The sequence below is a fragment of the Homo sapiens genome, chromosome 11 (assembly GCF_000001405.40).
Source record: "Homo sapiens chromosome 11, GRCh38.p14 Primary Assembly".
Taxonomy (NCBI): Eukaryota; Metazoa; Chordata; class Mammalia; order Primates; family Hominidae; genus Homo; species Homo sapiens.
This window is the reverse complement of record NC_000011.10, coordinates 123795980-123817395: the sequence shown is the minus strand read 5'-3', so window position 1 is coordinate 123817395 and position 21416 is coordinate 123795980. Positions and strand designations below refer to the sequence as shown.

The 21416-nt window shown below is 37.4% G+C and overlaps 1 protein-coding gene and 1 long non-coding RNA gene across 3 annotated transcripts; one reads left to right on the top strand and one right to left on the bottom strand.

The window, feature by feature from the left end:
- Positions 1–368: 368 nt before the first annotated feature.
- Positions 369–20009, bottom strand: LOC105369544 (uncharacterized). Of its 2 annotated transcripts, none has more exons than XR_948125.1 (3): positions 19731–20009; positions 19404–19630; positions 369–405 (listed from the first exon to the last, which is right to left on the bottom strand). It is a non-coding gene; the product is annotated as an uncharacterized LOC105369544 (long non-coding RNA). The 2 variants fall into 2 exon arrangements; XR_948126.1 differs by having other exon boundaries at positions 19404–19607.
- Positions 11047–11988, top strand: OR6M1 (olfactory receptor family 6 subfamily M member 1). The gene has a single exon (NM_001005325.1). It carries the CDS (start codon positions 11047–11049, stop codon positions 11986–11988), a length of 942 nt encoding a protein of 313 aa, NP_001005325.1.
- Positions 20010–21416: the final 1407 nt, after the last annotated feature.

Here is a 21416-nt window from a genome sequence, read left to right as displayed (position 1 = left end):
TATTCACCGTCCTCTGGCTTTCCTGAGTCTATAAATGGCAATGTGATAAAATGAGGCTAGAAAATTTAAGTATTCAAAATGCAGTGCCTGGGTTTTTTAATTAAAGAGTTAGCACACAGCCAGTTGTTGTAGCTCACGCCTGTAGTCCCAGCAGTGTAGGAGGCCGAGGTGAAAGCACTGCTTGAGCCCAGGAGTTTGAGGCCAGCTTGGGCAACATAGTGAGAAGCCCCCCGACCCCGATCTCCACAAAAAAAATTTAAAAACTACCTGGGCATGGTGGTGCACACCTGTAGTCCCAGCTACTCAGGAAGCTGAGTTGGGAGGATTGCTCGAGCCTGGGAGGTCAAGGCTGCAGTGAGCCATAATCACACCACTGCACTCCAGTTTAGGTGACAGAGCAAGACCCTGTCTCAAGAAACAAAACATGAAGAGTTAGAACACAAAATATGAGCAAGATAAATAAAACAATAGCAGTATCAGAAACAAAATTACATAAGCCCCATTGAGAGAAATTATCCTCTAGAAAAAAACCACAAATATTCATAAATTCAAATTTTTTCATGCAAGTACAAGTTCACAGACTCCTTTAATATGTATGAGAGATCTATAAACACAAATTAAGAACTTTAATTCTAGACAGAAATTTATTTCTCCATAAATCTATAGAGATAAAGGCCTACTATAACTCCAATTACAAACCCATCAGCAGTCTATCCTAGACAAGTGTTTCAGAAGCAAAGCATTCCTATTTATGAGAATACATTAAACATTGTCTGTCTTTCAAGCACTAATGCTTAGAAAGTGGATGACCTTTATTCAGCCCCAGTCATCGGTAACTCAGATACTTAGCACTTACCATGTGTCAGGAAACCTGCCAAAGGCCTCACATGCTTCATCTTATTTCACTTTTAGGATAATTCTATGGCGTTCATATTATCCCCATTTGATGGATGAAACAACTGAGGAGTTGAGACGTTAACTGTCCCAAAGTCACTCAGGTGTTAAGTGGAGTCAAACCAAGAACTATCTGACTTCAAAACCCATGCTCTTAATTACTATACAATACTGTTTCCCTTCGTTGTAAAAATCGCAGTAAAGGTAATTTTGGGACTATCCCTCATAGACAAAGACATAAAATCAAAGATCTGAAGCAGAAGGGGCTTTACAGAGTATCTTACTTAAACATTTTCATTTTACAGATGAGAAAACTGAGGCCCATGTGAAGCAGAATTTTTTAAAATCTAGGTAGTAAGAGAGTCAGCACTGGAACCTGTCATTCTGTCTGAGAATTTAATATCATTTCCCCTATGGTGTCTAGCTTTCCATTCAGCCAACAGTCATTAAACACATATTCAATGTTGGAAGAGAGTATCTATAAATATAACATAGAGAATAACAGATTATAATACACTTCATATAAGACACCAAGATTATTTGTGGAGGTGAGAGAGGAAAGATTAGGAAAATACTAGTGAAAATGTTTGTTAAAGTCAAATGTATTCATTATAAAATAACATCCTTGGCTTGCCAATGGATGAAAAAGGTTTGCGCTGAACCCCAGACTAACCTTCTCACATTTTATCTCCATTATATGGGGCTCCCTAAAAGTAAAGTGTCTTGTGGTCATAAATAGTTAAAAATGAGGAATTGGTCTGGGTTTTGGCAGCGAGGATATCTAAAATAGAAAGTATGGAGAAGACAAAGTGTTTAAATGGCAATTATTACTTATAGGCAGTCACTTGATGCCATCCTATCTAATTTACCACTATTCTAATTCAGTATTTCTTAGGTATTTTCTTATCAGAATTCCTCTAAACTGCTCCTCAACTTAGACTACTTCTGGGTACCCCATACACATACACACACACAATTGAAATGTGGCACTACCTTCACCCCATTGGTGAGGGAGGTTGTTCTACCCCATGATTCTAGAGATGGCCAAATACATGATACTCAATGACGGACAGATAAAGTTGAGAGTAGTTTATTAGTTACATATATTCACAGCTGAGAGAGGAGGACACTGCATGCCAAGCAGGGTGACACGGCGGTGGCACTCGGGGCAGAGTGAACAGCTGCTGGGCTGGCAGGAGATGGAAGCCTGTTAGGTTGAATACTGAGTGGGGTGCAGTTGGCCTGACTGATAGGAAAAATGGCCAAGTAGGGGAGGCTTTCCTGCTGCCGGGTGGAGGCATATCTAGTGAAAGCAGGGGAACTCACTTAGGCCCTGTGGAGCTTAGAGATGTCAATGTAGCACCTAAAATCTTAAGGCTTACAATGTCCCCTTAATGTCATTGTACAATGTCGCTTGAAGTGACATTAGGGGGATGTATATTTCCCATAGGCTCTCATTTTTGTGTCAGCTTCCACTTGTGGAAGTGCTCATTCCGCAACAAAAATCTGTGTGTGTGTCTTTCTCTGCTCATTCTTATTAGGTGCTTGTGATGTGATAGTCTTCTAAGAGTACTTTAACTTATTCAAAGACTGAAAACAAGATCCAAAATAATCAAACTGTCTCCAAGCAACTGAACTACACCCCAGAAAAAAGCTTCAGAATGTTTTTAGGAGTACAAAAATATCCTGCACCCAAGAAGGCAAATTTCACAGCATTTCGTATCCAATCAAAAAATTAACAGATATATAAAGAAGCAGGAAAACAAACTCACAAGTCAATCAACTGAAATTGATCCGGAAATGGCAGAGACAATAGAATTATCAAAGACATTGAGACTGTTACTATGTCTACATTCCACTTGTTGTTAAGTAGAGATGAAAAGTACAATGTCTGAGATGAAAAATTACACAGGATAAAATTATCGACAGATTGGGCATTGTAGGAGAAAAATGTAATGAACTTGAACACATACCAATAAAAACAATACCTAAAGGAGAAAAGATAAAACAAAAAAAAAACCCCAGAATATCAGTGAAATGTGGTACAACTTCAAGCAAATCCCACTTAGAGTCACTGAAGTAAAATGAGAATGGAAAAAATCTGAAAAAATAGTGACCAAAAATTTTCCAAATTTGATAAAAATTATAATCTCAAAGGTTCAAGAAGCTCAACAAACCCCCAAGCAAAAGAGATACGGATAAAACTACACCAAACCACATGATAATCAAATTTCTTAAAACCATTGATAAAGAGAAGATCTTAAAGCAGAAAAAAACCCAAAATGGATATATTACATACTAAGAAACAAAGATAGATTAACAGCAGATTTCCTGTGAGAAGCAGTGCAAACCAGAAGATAGTGAAGTAACATCTTTAAAATACTGAAAGAAAAATTTGTTTCACATGTATATATATATATGTAGTTTTCTAAAATATCGCTCTATCTATATGTATATGTGTGTGTGTGTATATATATAAATATATATATATATGCAGAAAGGTTGCTAGAAAATGGAGGAATTTATCAGCTGGAGATCTGGACTTCTATCTATATGTATATGTGTGTGTGTGTACATATATAAATATATATATATGCAGAAAGGTTGCTAGAAAATGGAGGAATTTATCAGCTGGAGATCTGGACCAAGCCATGAAATAAGTGCATAGAAACAGTTGTTTAATTAGAGGAATATAGTTCAAAATTGGTACCCTAGAATTTGACATTTCAGAGATTATTTATATGTAATGGCAAGATCTAATTTACAAAAATGGAGTTGATGACTTAAGAGGAAATAATCATTGGAAATAAGATTAAGATATTCAAATTTTTTAAAGATTTAAATGTAAGAACTCAAACTATAAAATTCCTCAAAGAAAACCTATGAAATGCCCTTCTTGACAACAGCCTTGACAAAGAATTTGTGATTAAGTCCTCAAAAGAAATAGCAACAAAACAAAAATTGACAAGTGGGACCTAATTAAACTAAAGAGCTTCTGCACAGCAAAAGAAACTATCAACAGAGTAAACAGACATCCTACAGAATGGGAGAAAATATTTGCAAACTATGCATCCAACAAAGATCTAATATGTACAATCAATAAGGAACCTAAACAAATTTACAAGCAAAAGACAAACAACCCATTAAAAAAATAATTAAAAGACATGAACCGGCACTTTGCAAAAGAAAACACACAAGTGACCAACAAACATGAAAAAATGCTCAACATTACTAACCATTAGATAAATGCAAATCAAAACCATAAGAAGATACCATCTCATATCAGTCAGAATGGCTATTACTAAAAAGGCAAGAAATAACAGAGGCTGGAGAGGTTGTTGAGAAAAGGGAATGATTATACACCTCTGGTGGGAGTATACATTAGTTCAACCATTGTGGAAAGCAGTTTGGAGATTTCCCAAAGAACTTAAAACAGAATTGCCATTTAATCCAGCAATCCCATTACGGGGTATATACCCAAAGGAATGTAAATCATTCTACCATAAAGACACATGAACAAGTATGTTCACTGCAGCACTATTCACAATAGCAAAGACATGGAATCAACCTAAATGCCCATTAACTGTAGACTGGATTAAAACATGTGGTACATATACCTAATAGAATACTATGCAACTTTAAAAAAGGATGAGACCATGTCGTTTTCAGCAACGTGAATGCAGCTGGAGGCCATTATCCTAAGTGAGTTAATACAGGAACAGAAAACCAAATATTGCCTATTCTCACTTACGAGTGGGAGCTAAACTTTGAGTATATATGGCCACAAAGAAGGGAGCAACAGACACAGAGGCCTACTTGAGATTGGAGGGTGGGAGGGGGGTGAGGATGGAAACACTACTTATTGTGTACTATTTATAATACCTGGGTGACAAAATGATCTGTACACCAAATCCCCATAACATACAATTTACCTACACAACAAGCCTACACATGTACCCATGAACCTAAAATAAAAGTTAAAATAATAAAAAATAACAGATGCCAGTAAGGCTGCAGAGAAAAGGAAATGCTTATATACTGTTGGTGAGATGTAAATTAGTTCAGCCATTGTGGAAAGCAGTTTGGAGATTTCTAAAAGAACTTAAAACGACCATATGACTCTCAAAGAACTTAAAACTACCATATGACCCAGCAATCTCATTACTGAATATATACCTAGAGGAATATAAAATTGTTCTATCAGAAAGACACATGCACACATATGTTCATTGCAGCACTATTCACAATAGCAAAAGACATAGAATCAACCTAGGTGCCCGTCAATGGTGGAATAAAGAAAATGTGGTACATATACACCATGGACTACTACATGGCCATGAGAAAGAATGAAATCATATCCTTTGCAGCAACATGGCTGTAGCCAGAGGCCATTATCCTAAGTGAATTAGCATGGGAACAGAAAACCAAATACCACATGTGTTCACTTATAAGTGGGAGCTAAACATTGGGTACATGTGGACATAAAGATAGGAATAATAGACACTGAGAACTACTAGGGGGGAAAGGAGGGAGGGGTGTGTGGGCTGGAAAACTACCTATTGGGTACTATGCCCATTACCCAAGTGACGGAATCATCCATACCCCAAACCTCAGCATCGTGCAACATACCCATGTAACAAACCTGTATATGTACCCTGAAATCTAAAATAAAAGTTGAGATTATTTTTGAAAAAAAGACATTCAAGTTTTAGGTTGAATATCAACAAAAGCAAATCAAAACAGCTGAGAAAAGCTGTTCACATGAACCACTGAAAGAGTCAATTAAAAAATGACTTCCATAATGGTCTTACTTGAAGGCTCTATAGCAGTTATTTGCTTATTTCTTGAAACTCAGGCAATAAATGGCGGAATCAAAGAAAATTTATAAGATGGTATACTAGAAAAATAAAAAAGATTGTATGCTATGAGCCTCGGAGGAGTTTTATCAGAAACCAGAGAAATAATTTCTTATTGAAAGCAGAAATTGGGAGCAAAATAACAAAAACAACAAATTATTATATTATCATAAAATTAATAATATAGTATAAATATACTATATACTTATATAACAAATTTATATATAAAAGTATAAACACATTGTACACTTATGTAATGTATGTCATATAGCATATCACATAATATATAATTGATAGAATATAAATATAAAACTACATAATATTTTTATATTGTTATAATGTCCCTGCAGCTATGTAACTCTATCGCTCTTGTACATGGAAAGAAGGATGTGCGTTCAACTCAGTGGAACCAGTGTCCTCAAGTGAAAGTCAGGTTACTGTTAAGGTTTAAAAAAAAAAAAGAGGGTTTTTTAGTTAAGTAAAAAATGTTTGAAAGAATTTTCATTAAAAAAAATCAAAGAATACAGTGGAAACTTATGGAAAGTTTGTAGCCATAAGAGATAGGTCAAGAGCATGGAAGAACAGAGTTGTACAAGGCTGACTTCTGTACAAGAGCCCATCTTTTTACAATTTTTCTATTTTTAATTTTCGTGGGTACATAGTAGGTGTATATATTTATGGGGTACATGAGGTGTTTTGATAATGGCACGATGTGATTATTACACAACGGCTCATCTTTTTCAACAGGGAAAGGACAGGGAGGAAAAACATTGTGGAATTTACTATGACCCTATTTTCAACTGGAACTTTTTAAAAAATTATGCTAACGTAGACAGAGAGAGGTAGTACATAGTATCTGAAACTCTAGAATATTTACTGTTGTAGAATATTTCTGATTATATCAATAAACTTAAGAAGGATGAAAAGTGTTCCATGCTTTTAGCTTCCTTATAGATTATTTTTAAGGTATTCTTTTCTCTTTAAATGGAAGAAGCAAAATGTCTGGGAAAATCCCCAAGGAATCCCTAACTGCTCTACTTGTAGACAGTCTAAAACTTTCTGATTAGGAAGTTCAGAACCAACATTCTTTTATAACAATATTAATTAACTTCTTTTGACCCATATCCCCAAGAGCTGTTCTCATCTAAATCTCTAAGGCAAATAAACCCATGAAAAAAACATAATTCATCCACTTACTTAACAAAAACTGACAGAAGAAAGGAAGGGAAGCTTTACTCTATTGAGAAAAGGAAAGAAGTAGTTAAAAAAAATTAAAGTCACCTTTAATCTGGTGAAACATTTATAACATTCAAGATCATTGAGTAAAAGCTTCAATGGAAGGATAGTCTAATAGTCATGAAGGTAAAATGAAACACCAAAAACTTTACTGAGTTCCCTTCACTGAGCCATCCCTTGGTAAGTATGCTTAAGAAGAAATCCATTTAGCCACATCTAGATGAGTTGCTTGTATGAAATTCTATATTCAAAAAACTCAGTTACTGAATAATTGAAATAATTGAAAATTAAGCAAAAAGACAAAATATAGTCACTCTGAATGGGGAAAATACCTGAGAATTAAGACTTAATAGTTTTTGATTGATTAATCGATTGATTTTAGAGACAAGGTCTCGCTCTGTTGCCCAAGCTGGAGTGCAACGCCATGGTCATAGCTCACTGCAACCTGGAACTGCTGGGCTCAAGCAATCCTGCCACCTCCATCTCCAGAGTAACTAGGACCACAGATGCTCACCACCATACCTGGCTAGTTTTTTCAAAATATTGGTAGAGATGGGGTCTTGCTATACTGCCCAGGCTGATATCAAACTCCTGGCCTCAAGCAATCCTCCTGCTTCAGCCTCCATAAATGGAAGTTGAGGAAGATCTATCTACTCTAAGTTTTTAAGGCCACTTACTTACCACAGGTATTACCTTCTTTATCTGCAAAAACAGACTCTAGAATTTGTGTTGTGCTGAATTCACTGGAATGTAGGGCAAGGAGGATATCTAGAACATAAAGGTGTTTGAAGGGCTGTCATGGTGAAAAGGTTAGTATTTGATCCATAAAATCAGTACGTGAACATGTATTTGGAAGTTACATAACAGAGTTTTCCACTCAAGATAAGAGTTTTTCATCCAGCCAGTGGTAAAGCAAGATAGTAATTTACTAATCACTGAAGTCATCCAAGCAATGGCTGGATGCATATGCGGTGAGAGTGCTAATGAGAAGGATTCATTATGGGGTTGGATGGTCAGTGGCCTAGTAAGGGTTATTTCATCTTTGAGAGATATTTCTATGAGTTAGAAATAGAATTAGCAAAAATAATAATAAATTCAAAGTACAAAATACAATGCTATGAATTAATTCATACATTTATATATGATAAAGTTTGAGCCTCTACCTATGTCTCACATACAAAACAGGAAAAGTTTACATTATATAATTGATGCAATGTAAGTATACTTTTTTGCATATGTTTATTTACTAATATGATATAACTTTTGTTAAATTTACTTTTCTGTGTATAGTCGCTCTAATCTTTCAATATTCTTAATGAATGGAGTCAGAAGCCAATCTGGAATGATTCAGGTTAAGTATGCATTAGAAATATTCCTCAGTTAAAAATTAATCTTTTCATGACTTATTGTTATTAATTCAGATAAGAAACAATTAGTGTTAATTGTTCATCTCCTTTCTTAAAAGAATCAATTTTTTAGCAAGAATCTATTAGGTATTGTCACATATATGATTTAATTTAAACCTCATGGCAGGTCATTTTGAACATTAGAATTATCTTTATTTCTCTGATAAAGAAGCTATGACTCAGAGGTGACGAATTTAATTCAATAAAAAAGAGCTGCAAGTGGTAAAAACCAGGATTGGAACCCAATTCTTCAAACTATCTCACATTAATCTAATTAATACTTGAGTCTTAAAATGTAAAATATACTTAAAGTAAAATAAAAAAATAAGAATAAAGGTAGTGCTTATCTCATAGGTTATAATGAAAATTAAAAGAGTAAACTGCTTTCGATCATGTCTGGCAACTACTAAAAACTCAATAAAGATCTATTTTTATTGAAAACCGAAAAAAATTGTAAAATATAATTTGCCTGCTGAAAAACCCCATGGAAATAATAATACAAGACACACAAAAAACAGGTAACAAAATGCCTTGTATAGAAAGTTCATATGTAATTTCCCATGCTATTATATTAGTATATGTATTCATGATTAGCCACTTTTATGCAGTAACTTAGCAAATAATTTAGGAGTTTATTTACTGGAGAATAAAAGAAGTTACAATCTTTGGGGTGGGTCAGGGAGTCAAAAAGTACTGATAGTAGGACCCTAAGACTTTAATGGACCTTTTAAATGTGCAGCCCAGCATTCTAAGATGAGAAAACTGAAGTTCAGAGCATAAAATAAGATTTATTTAAAAAAAAAAAGAGCACAGTATTTCTATGCCATTGAGGCATCAGCTACCCCAGCCCAGCTATGATATAGAACTATTCCCTCAGACTAAGAACCCATGAAAGAGATCTGTAAGTGATTTTACATTATCAACTGCTCTAGTAAAGTAAAATCTAATATTATAAGAATAAATCTTTCTTGGGTTTTTGTACTGAGTAACAAATAGTGAGGGCAAACACCCTATTGGAAAAGATTCTCGGGAATTAATAAGACAAGTGCACAAAAAATTTATGTGGAAGAATATTTATTTGATCATTATTTATACAAGCAAGAAATGTAAACCATCTAAATTTTCAGCATTAAGCAACTGGCTAAATATATCACAGTCCCACTGATAGAATCAAACACTATACAATTCTCAAAAATGATTGTGAAGACTTCTAGGAGTTGACATGGAAAGATGCTAAATTGTTTTAAGAAAAAGGAAGAAAGAAAGAAAAGAGAAAGAAAGGAAAAGGAAAAAAGCTAATTACAAAATAGTCTCCTAGTATGATTTATTTTAGATACACAAGTATGTACTTTGAACTTTAAAATAGCCTAAAACTATATACACCAAAAGGTCACTGTATCTCTAAGAAGTTCGATTACAGATTATAATTTTCTTTTCTGCACTTGCATTTTTTAATTCTTTGCACTAAAAATGTCTTTCTTGTATAATAAAAAGAAAAATAAAATAAGAGGGTAAATTTTTTATCTTGGAGGAAAGTGCAGGGGGAGTTTGGAAAAAGAAAAAGAGGTGGCCACGATCAGTAGCAAAGAGTGGAGGAGATGCTAACTTATCTATTAAGGATTTATTAAGGAGGTGCTAAGTGATATCTAGATAAATAAAGCACCAAGGTCAGAGTTAAAGCATGGGCTGGTTTTTACCTAAAATGGGGAGGTCTCTGCAAAATAATCATTTCTCACATTGTGGGACAAAGAACAAACTAGATGATCTTGAAGTACAGTTTCACAATGTCGGCTGACAAAGTAAATGAAGTGAGGTGAATTACCTCTATGTTGCCTTCCTGTATATAATTTGTGCCTCTCTGATGTTATCACACTATATACGGTGCTCTCAAATGATCAGCCAGATATATGATACATATTAGATACTGCACAGAACTTGTAGAAGGTAGGTTTTAGACACAAAAGCATAATCTAAGGGCGAGACACTCATTATTTCTTTTTGAGGTGTCATCTAAAATGATTAATAGGAACCGTCAGCTGTTGTTCCTTTTAATAATCTCTGGACAGTTTTCACAGATCTATACATGCTAGGGAAAGATGTTAAGAATTCGGAGACTCTGGATATCTACAAATGTAGAAAAAACTAAATCAACCTTTATTAAATGACAACCACCAAAGTGAAAGAAAGTTTGTTATAGAAAAGACTTTACGTTTCTAAAGGATTTGCCACTCAGGAACTGTAAACCAGAATAATAGAAGGGCATTCTGATTAAGTATACATCAGTACATTAGCACATTTTTAGCTGAGAAAATGAAGCCAAAAGAATAGAAAAGATTAGAAATTTCATCAATGAAAAGGAATAGAATTTTATAACTAGAAGGAAGTTGAGTTTTTTTTATCCAGCCTTATTCCGTCATTTTACAGGAAAAACAAACAAACAAACAAAAAAAAACCATGTACCTAAATAGTATCTTGACTTTCCCAGTGTGGCACAATAATTAACTTGCAGATAGAGGACTACATACCAGGTCTACATCTCCCAATATAAGCCACTCTCCGCAATACATTCTCAGCAGATATTTACAAAATTACCTAAGCTGATTTTCCTTTTCTTGTTTCTTCAGGGAAACCCTGCCCACCATATAGTAGTTGTCATGGGAAACTGGAGCACTGTGACTGAAATCACCCTAATTGCCTTCCCAGCTCTCCTGGAGATTCGAATATCTCTCTTCGTGGTTCTTGTGGTAACTTACACATTAACAGCAACAGGAAACATCACCATCATCTCCCTGATATGGATTGATCATCGCCTGCAAACTCCAATGTACTTCTTCCTCAGTAATTTGTCCTTTCTGGATATCTTATACACCACTGTCATTACCCCAAAGTTGTTGGCCTGCCTCCTAGGAGAAGAGAAAACCATATCTTTTGCTGGTTGCATGATCCAAACATATTTCTACTTCTTTCTGGGGACGGTGGAGTTTATCCTCTTGGCGGTGATGTCCTTTGACCGCTACATGGCTATCTGCGACCCACTGCACTACACGGTCATCATGAACAGCAGGGCCTGCCTTCTGCTGGTTCTGGGATGCTGGGTGGGAGCCTTCCTGTCTGTGTTGTTTCCAACCATTGTAGTGACAAGGCTACCTTACTGTAGGAAAGAAATTAATCATTTCTTCTGTGACATTGCCCCTCTTCTTCAGGTGGCCTGTATAAATACTCACCTCATTGAGAAGATAAACTTTCTCCTCTCTGCCCTTGTCATCCTGAGCTCCCTGGCATTCACTACTGGGTCCTACGTGTACATAATTTCTACCATCCTGCGTATCCCCTCCACCCAGGGCCGTCAGAAAGCTTTTTCTACCTGTGCTTCTCACATCACTGTTGTCTCCATTGCCCACGGGAGCAACATCTTTGTGTATGTGAGACCCAATCAGAACTCCTCACTGGATTATGACAAGGTGGCCGCTGTCCTCATCACAGTGGTGACCCCTCTCCTGAACCCTTTTATCTACAGCTTGAGGAATGAGAAGGTACAGGAAGTGTTGAGAGAGACAGTGAACAGAATCATGACCTTGATACAAAGGAAAACTTGACACTGGTATACACTACATTAAATACATTTCTTTTTTTATTATTTTTTTTAAGTTCCAGGGTACATGTGCAGGATGTGCAGGTTTGTTACATAGTTAAACGTGTGCCATGGTGGTTTGCTGCACCTATCAATCCATCACCCATGTACTAAGCCCAGCATGCATTAGTTCTTTTTCCTAATGCTCTCCCCAACCCCCAGCCCTCCCCCAATGGCACACATTTCTTATCTTCAACACATTCTTTCTGCACGACTATGGTGGTGTTTGGTGTGCCAGAAACTGAGATGGTGCCCCAGGATGAGCAATGATCATGCCAAACTGAAGGAAAACTCTGATCATGTCTGGGAGAAAATTCAATCCATGAAGTATCTTGCATATACCACGAAGGGAGGCTGGGTGCAGTGGCTCACACCTGTAATCCCAACATTTTGGAAGGCCAAGATTGGAGGATTCATTGAGCCCTGGAAGTTGAGGCTGCAATGAGCTGTGATTGCACCACTACACTCCATCCTGGGTGGCAGAGTGAGACCTCGCTTTTCTGTTGTTTTGTTTTGTTTTTGTTTTTGTTTTTAAATACCATGAAAGAAACCTAACAGGGATTCAGAGATCTCCAATTCTAGTCCTGGCTAAGTTCACTTATTTTCCACAGATTTTGACCATGCTACAACTTATCCGGTCCTCAATGTCTCTCTCCATTTTTAAATAAAATAATAGATAATAAAATATCACTACTTTTAGTAAGGCATGTAAAGTTAAAAAATATTTTCTTATTAGGCACTCTTGAATATTTCTAGAGACTTGGTTTTAACCTCTATTGGCCAGATCAAGTAAAGATGATGTGAGAAGTGAGAGAAAAAGAGGTATGACTCAGGAAGGTACCAAGCCTCTAGCTATACAGAGTGAAAAAGAAAGATATTTGATGAGAAAAGGAACACAGGGCCAGGCGCGGTGGCTCACACCTGTAATACCAGCACTTTGGGAGGCTGACGCAGGCAGATCACTTGAGGTCAGGAGTTCAAGACTAGTCTGGCCAACATGGTGAAACCCCGTCTCTACTAAAAATACAAAAATTAGCTGTGTGTGGTGGTGCATGCCTGTAGTCTCAGCTGCTCAACAGGCTGAGGCATGAGAATTGCTTGAACCTGGGAGGCAGAGGTTGCTGTGAGCCAAGATCAAGCCACTGCACTCCAGCCTGGGTGACAGAGTGAGACTTCGTCTAAAAAAAAAAAAAAACAGAAGAAGAAAAAAAAAAGAAAGGAAAATAGGAGGGGTTTCTTAGGGGTGGACCTATTGAACTGGAGGTTTTTGAGGGTCATCCAGTTATAAGTTGTTCTATTTTGCTGAAGCACTAGAAATAGCTCCCTTGGTATCTTTTTATGGGCATTTGGCAATAAAATAAAGACTTGCTAGACAATGAGTTCCCAACAGTTGTATTAAAGGCCAGATTTGTTGGTCCTTTTCTCGGTCACCTAAATCTTTTGTGATTTAAATCTCTCTGGCTCTTTCTGGCTCTAAAAATAAATAAATAAATAAAAAAGTTTTAGTTTAACTGTATGGTTTAATTACCATTGTATATATTATGGTCATTTTTCCCCAGAACTCATTAGGCAGTCAGGCATTTATTCATAGAAGATGTGCTGAGCACACCTGAATTATGATCCTGGGCAAGTTATCGAAACTTTCTGTATCTCAGTTTCTTACTTATCTACAAAATGAGAATTTCAACGGTGCGGGGCTAAAGTAGGATTAACCTAAAAGCACTTATACCAATTGTATGATACAGAAATGCTGAATGAATATTATTTATCTTTTTTAGGGCCCTGTGTAAAATTCAATGGGAGATGCTGATGATACAAAGAGAAACAGGACATGATCTCCACTCCTAAGTTATTCACATTTTAGCTTGACAGAAAAGAATATACTAGAAAATTTTATGAATGATAAATTGTAAAAATAAATGAATTAATACTTCTGATATTGGCCATGGTGGAGTAACAGATATTTGATTTTATCTTTTGACTTAGGCAACTAGAAAATGACAAAAATACATAAAGCAAACCATTTCACACATTGTCTAACAAGCAATACAAGATTGCAATTATTGAGAGAAGAAAAACAAAACAAGGTGAGCCTTAAAAGTGCTCCAGTTTGCAACCTGGGTGCGGTCTCCTCCCCTGCAGTCTATGGGGAGTATTCAAACAGAGGCTGGAAGTTTCTATGAGTAAGAAAATAGAGATCAGTTTGGGGAGGCCAGGGCAACTTGAAGTTACAGGCAAGACGACCAGAAATGAAAGAGTTGCATAGAAATAGAACTCTGGAGATAGGCAGAAGGATCCCCTGAAGACTTTGGCTGAATATAGAGCTAAGCAGTCATGAAAAGAAATTACCTGAAGATCTGAAAGGATCCACGAGAAATCAACAGGCCAAATAATTTCTGGTGTTCACATAGGGATAGAAATAGTTTGTGTTTCTTTCAGCCAGAGTAAAAAGACCTTTTAATATTAGGGTATTAGGTAGAGTAAGGGGGATAAATTATCTCTAGTGCAAAGACAGACCTAGCTTTTTCCTAAAAGGCTTTCAAAACAAGACTGAAAAGATCAAACTAGTCCACAAGTAATTGCCTAGGAGAACCAAGTCTAACACAACTTAAAAGAATACAACAAAATATATAATTTAATAATTTAATATCACAATATCCAGCATCCAAACAAAAATTTCTAAGTATATAAAGAAGCAGGATATTGTGATACATAACCAGAAAGAAAATCATCAAAAGAAGCCAATCTGGAAATGATGGGAATTCACAGGAAAAGAATATTTAAATAGCTATGTGCCCAAGAATTTAGACTGTAAAGTGATTTAACAATTAAATTATAAAAATTATTAATATTTAAAATAATTTAAAGCGTTTCTTATATAAATATTCTCATATAGTAGATATCATCATAATTATTTGTCCTGCACACTTTTATAACTTTAGATGTCTTTCTTGTATTATTTTATTTTTTGCTAGCATCCATTATTCTTACAGAGTTGGCCATGATGATCCCATATCTTTAAGTTATTAGATGAAGAGCTTTGTAGGAAATGTTATTTGGCTCAATACAATGCACATGATCTATTTTTTAAATGGCTATAAAAGATAGTTTTCATTCATTCTTCTTTCCTTTGCGCACAGGATAACAGGTAGGAGATGTGACCGAATTTCTTCTTGGCCACACCAATCTGTGCAAAGGCCAAAATAAAATTTCAAATGTCACTGGCCCTTGTTCACCTCACCTAGGTGCATACCATAAGCTCTTGCTCTCCTGTGCAATTACTAGCAAGTAATTTCTACCAAGTGTTTCTTGGAATCCCCAAGAGATGTTTCTTATGTACTTATGAACTCTCAATATTATCTGGCTCTGGCTACCCTTCATTGATTTACACTCTTTGAAGCCACCTGAGGGCAGAGCTTCCTCACTATTACTGCAGTCTATTCCCCCTTTAAGAAACTGATGTCAGTGACGAAGGAGCTGTCTTTCAATTACCTCAAAACACCAAACCACTGAGATGGTAGGTATGCCACTATATCTGCTGTTATTCCTGCTATAGGCAGAGACACTAAGCTGTATTCAAAGAAGAAATTAGGAGAATCCCCATTATGCCTACTTATTTACTGAGGCACAGATATAAGGTGGCTTAGGCACTATTTTTCAGTGGGTCCTTCATTTTCTTCACACACTTCTTTTATTTATAATTTTAGAAATAAATCCTTGCCTTGGTTAGATAATCAATATCTGAAACAGATACCAGATGATCCTCCCCACCCTGGTGCTTCTCACAGGTGCTCAACTTTTCCAGCCAAAATTCTCACATAAAATAAGTTTGGATTCCTTTGTCCACCAGTGTGTCACATATTTTTAGCCTCTATCTGGGACCCCTAATACACATAAGTAAGACAGAAGTCAGGTAGCATTAGATAATTCAGTAGAGTATACTTGAATATCTATGATGAATTTGCTGCTCTTAGGAACTCTCACATACCTTCCAGCTCATGCAACTGTTCTTTGAGTAAAATAAAAAAACATCTGAGACAGTGTTGCACATACTTGGTACTGTCCCACGTAATACAGAGACAAAGAAGAGTAAGATTACATTAAAATACATGGAAATCGAGTATTCAAGAATGCCTTACAAGTTTGAAAGTGGTAAACATATATTAGAAAAATTCTCTAGGTATTTAACTCCTGGTTTTTCAATATCAAACACAAGTAAAAAAAAAAAAACAGAGAAAAAAGATTTGATAATACAATGATGCTTCCATTTCAAGGGCAAACTGAAAATCCATTCTCTTAATCCTGGAACTTATCAGGATTTCCACTTTACAGCTAGAAATTCCTGTCTTACTGCTAGAAATTTCATGCTGTGCCTTTTAAACATCTAGTTACTTGTTTGTTTTCATAGTTAAATACCATAAAGAAATTCTAGTTCCTCTCAGGGTTAAATTTAAGTTTCATTATAACATTCTCCAAGAGGGAGTGCAAAACACACACACACACACACACACACACACACACACACCCCCACACCACCCATCCAACTCACCTCCTTTTCCAATCAGAGGAGAAGCAATTAGCAAGTTCACTGTGTTGCACAACTATGGAGAAAGGTGCGGTGAGGGTCACCACTCATATTATAGTCTATGACACATTTCAAATCAAAATATATTAGGGTTCAGGTGCTTTGGATATAAGTGAACCAGTTAAAACCGTTTAAGAATCTTTGGATTCTCTTTTTTGCACATATATGGCTTATGCAGTAAGACAGGTCTGGGCTCTCCTACTACTAAAGACAGATGCCCTTCCTCTGTTACGATTTCCACATTAAGACATTAATGATATAGCCAAGAGAGGCATGAAGTCCTTGTAGGCCTGTGGCTCTGGGTTTTAGGAACAAATACTCCTATTGTCCCTGAGTTGCTCTCCTTGGATTCCTTCCATGCTTCTTTATGCCACTGGGGAAGTCAATACAGGGTGAACCTGAGCTACTTTCAGTCATGGATCTACCTTCTCTAACATGCAATCAAAGTCTTGGTATGTTTCGCATCATTCAACTCAGCCCATCAAGGGCACACATTGAGGTTGTCCTCCAAGGCCAGTAACAAAGAGCACGCCTTTTCTTGCTCTTATCCTCAAGGGATTTGTGGGAGCGGCTACAGCTGCTGTAGACAGCTGGTCACAATATTGAGAATGTAGTATCACTGGTCTCAGCCATCTGTCTTTCTGTTGATTTCCACCTTAGAGACAAACCTTAAACTTTTGAGAGAAGTGTATTCAGCAAACTTGAGCAATTATACTTTCTATTATTTACAAACTGTCCCTGGATAATAAGAATTTAGTGTTGAATACTTTAGAGATAGAGTGTAATATGGTTGACATTTGCAAAATTCAATAACTCACATAGCAATTTCTTTCCAACTTCCAACCTAGAAGGGTCCTGATTACAGACAGTCGGTTTCGCAGACTCAAAAGACTAAAATTTCATTTAATGAAGAATAATTTTTAGTAAATTGAAAAACAAAAATTCTCCTATATCAGATGTGACAGGAGGTTATGCATGACACAATTCTCTAAACTTATAAAAGTATTCTCATGTCTGTGAATATTATTGAGGCACAGGCGACACAAATTTGCCACTGGCGCCTGAGTCACGTGATGTATTGACAGACAGTATAACTGTTCATACTATTCTTCATGCATGAGAACATACTGCAACTGCACAGTGCCAGAGAGAGCTCTGGCAGGAGGAGCATACAGCTGTTCCTACATATGGACCATCACAGAGATTGACAGAAATAAGAGCAGCTGACAGAAACAGCTGAGGCTGATGCCAAACTGATGCAGACTAGAGAAGTAAAAATCTGACCAGAGCTTAATCCTGGGAAGCCTGGAAATGACAAGCTGCGCTGTGGTTTAGAGAGCAAGCCTTTGAATGGGAATCAGGTGTTCTGGGTTCCAATCACGGTCTACCCACAAATTAAAACAATAGCTTCATGGAAGTCAAAAAATTTCTTTTTCTCAGTTGCCTCAATTATACAATGAGGTGACTGTTGTTGTCTATGACATCAGGGCCTCATCTAATCCTAGGACAATGCTTCTTGAACTTTAATAGGCAAATAAGTTACCTAGAGAGTTGATTTAAAATGCAGATTCTCCACCCTGGGCAACAAAGTAGGATCGTGTCTCTACAAAAAATTTTTTAAAAAATTAGTCAGGTGTGGTGGCTTATGCCTGTAGTTGCAGCTACTTGGGAGGCTGAGGTGAGAGGACTTCTTGAGCCCAGGAGGTCGAAGACTGCAGTGACCTGTGATTGTGCCACTGCTCTCCAGCCTGGGCAACAAAGTGAGATCCGGTCTCAAAAAAAAAAAAAAAAAAAAAAGAAAAGAAAAAGAAAATTAATGCAGATTATAATTCACTAGCTCTTGAGTGAGACCCAATATTTTGCATTTCCAATAGGCTTCCACAAGATTCAATGCTATTTGTTTACATATTACATTTTTTTTTTGTAGTGACACATTAGATTTTGCTGGTTCAAATCCATATTCCTAGACAGGATTGAGCAATACGAGAACAGCTAGGTATCTGATTGCCCTTTGAAATGAGGGAGTGAGTGAGGCAAGTGAATAGAACAGAAATTAGGCAAGGAAATTTGGCAGGGTCCCAGCCAAAACCCTCAACTATAAAGAACTGAAACCAAGATGTATTGAGAAAGTAAATGTTCAATAGGTATGAGAAATGTCAAAAGGTATGAACATTGGTAAGAACGTTTGAGTCAGCAAAGAGCAGCAGCTCCAGGAGAGACAGACCAGGTACCCCTCTTAGAGGGCTGCAGGCCACCCCAAACATGGAAATAAAAGGAAATCTTCAGTTCCTCCAAGGGAAATTCCAGGCACCTAGCTAGCCTTGAGAAGTAAATGAGCAACTAGATAAGCAAGAAGGTAATAATAACTTAAAACAATAGCCAAAGAAGTTATAGGCAGGAGATGTTTTGTTCCCTAAAGAAACTAAAAATAACATTTTGACGTATGTCCCTGACTTGTTTTTCAGAAACCCAGATTCCCACCAAATCATCTGCTGGCACATAGACCTCAGATAAGGAGAACTGAGGACAGACTGCTGTTCTTTGTTCTAAATTTCTTCCTGAGGGGCCTGGAGGAAGTCGCAGCCACGAGCCAGAGCAAACATTTTTTCCCCAAATTTTTAGACAAAGCTTTGCCTCCTTAACCAATCGCTAAGCAGAAAATTTTTGAGTCCACCTATATCCCCCTTCTGCTTCAAGATGTCCTGCATCTTTCGGTCAAACCAATGTATAGCCTCCAGGTATTATCCTGTGACTTTGCCTGTAACCTCTGCCTCCCCACCTTTAAAACTGCTTACCTGTAAGCCATCAGGGAGTGCAGGCCTGAAGCATGAGCTGCCTGAATGTCCTTGCTTGGTGCCCTTCAAAAATTTCCTCATTTTCTCTCGCTGCTAGCCCCATGTCAGTGTTTGGCTTTGCTGTGCTGGGTGGGGGACTCCAGTTCGCTTCAATAACGCAGGGATATTTCACTTGTAAAGCGGGTTCCCGCTAACTGTGGCGTCCTAATTAGGGAAAGGAAGTTAGGCTGGCGAAACAAGGGGAAGCAAAAAGAGAACGCAGATAAGCTCTAAGTCTGTCTTTCTTCATGGTCCAGGACACATAGCCCTACTGCAGAAATAACTCACCGTCTTCCTGTGCCTATCACCAGACATGCGCTGAGGTGGGAAATTAAAGAAAGAAAGAAAAAGAAAATTTAAAAAAAAGAAATAAGTTTTCCTGTATTAGGCTGACTTGTCCCAGAAGCAGCAACAGGCACAGCCCAGACCCAGGGAAAGTCTTGATAATGCTATCTAATGTGGCCTGAAGTCTATCCTAGCACTCCCTCAACATAGGGAGGAGAAAAACAAATTTTCCTTTCTCTTATGGTATGAGTTTATAGATTCCTGTTCTCTGCAAGTAGTGACTTCAAGTATTCTGCTTATCTAAGCAGTGGAGCGAAGGTCATAAACCATCTGAGCAGGCCTGAGATACAACCACCTGGGCACCATAGTGAAGGTTATGGGATAAGCCCGTGCTAGGCACTAGAGTAAACCTAAATAATGGACATCTGGGCTGCATAGCAACGGTCATGTGTAATCCTGAGTTATGAGCCTGTCACAATTTGCTTAACTGCCTTTGTTCTGCCTCTGTATCCTTGCTTTCGTGCCACTGTAAGCCTGCTTCAAGCTAGCCCACCCCCTTTTTGAAGTGGCTATGAAAGTCAAGTGCTGTCTTGGTTCTGGGCCCAGTTTTTGGATGTTAAGTCTGCTGGGTCTGAGTGCACTCAATAAAGATCTCCCTGTATTTATCCTGAGGTGTCTCTGGTCCTCCTGATTCCCGCAACAGTACAAGTTAGCTCCCTACAACCTTGGCATTATCACTACTGCACGTGACACTCTGCAGCCTAAGAATCATCATATAAAATCTCCAGCAAGCCTTTGTTTCGTCGAAATCAACTCTTCTTTTGCTGATTCTGCCCGTTGCTCCCTTGCAACATATTTTAATGCTTTCTTGAATAAATCTGCCTTTCTTTACCTACAACTGTCTTGGTAAATTCTTTGATCCCTGTGCCACCAGCCCAGACAGTTGCTGCTGAACCACAACACTAATGATTAAGGAACTGGAAAATGAATTTATCATGGATAACTCTTGGTTTCTTTCTTTTTTTTTCTTTTCCTCTTTTTTTTTTTTTTTTCCACCTCAGGAGGAAAGAGTTTAGTTAATCATGCATCTCAGGCCAATCTATCTTATTTCCTTGTTATCTCTATTCCCCACTGAGGCAGGAGAATAGGGTCTGGAGGCAGGGAGCCTAAGGCTGATTCACACAGACTTCCTAGAACTGAATCAAAAGAAAAACCCCACCTCTCCATGCCCAAGTAACAAAACCATCAGAGGATTACTCCCTTTGCAACCCACCCCTCTTTCCACTTCTGGCAGAGGAAAACTGGAAATTGTCTCTGATTGGTCCCCTCCCACAACCAATCAGACTGGTCACAGGCTCAGTCTTCATTTGCATAGGGGTGTAACTTTATAACTTCAGCCTGCGATTGGTCCCCTCCTGTGATCAGTCAGACTGGTTGTGGGCCACTACTTCATTAGGTAGGGCGTAAACCAAATAACCAATGGGAAACCTCTAGAGGATATTTAAATCCCAGAAAATTCTGTAAACATCGCTCTTCAGCTGCTTGCTCAAGGTGGCTCCCAGTCTGTGGAGTGTGTTTTCATTGTTTCATTCTTTCATTGCTTTGTTTGTGCATTTTGTCCAATGTCCAATTCTTTGTTCAAAACCCCAAGAACCTGGATGACTCTTAGTCAAGACCCTCCATCGGTAA

Bases quoted from the DNA above. Each gene is read 5' to 3' on its own strand.
- OR6M1 (NM_001005325.1), top strand. From the start codon at position 11,047: ATGGGAAACTGGAGCACTGTGACTGAAATCACCCTAATTGCCTTCCCA.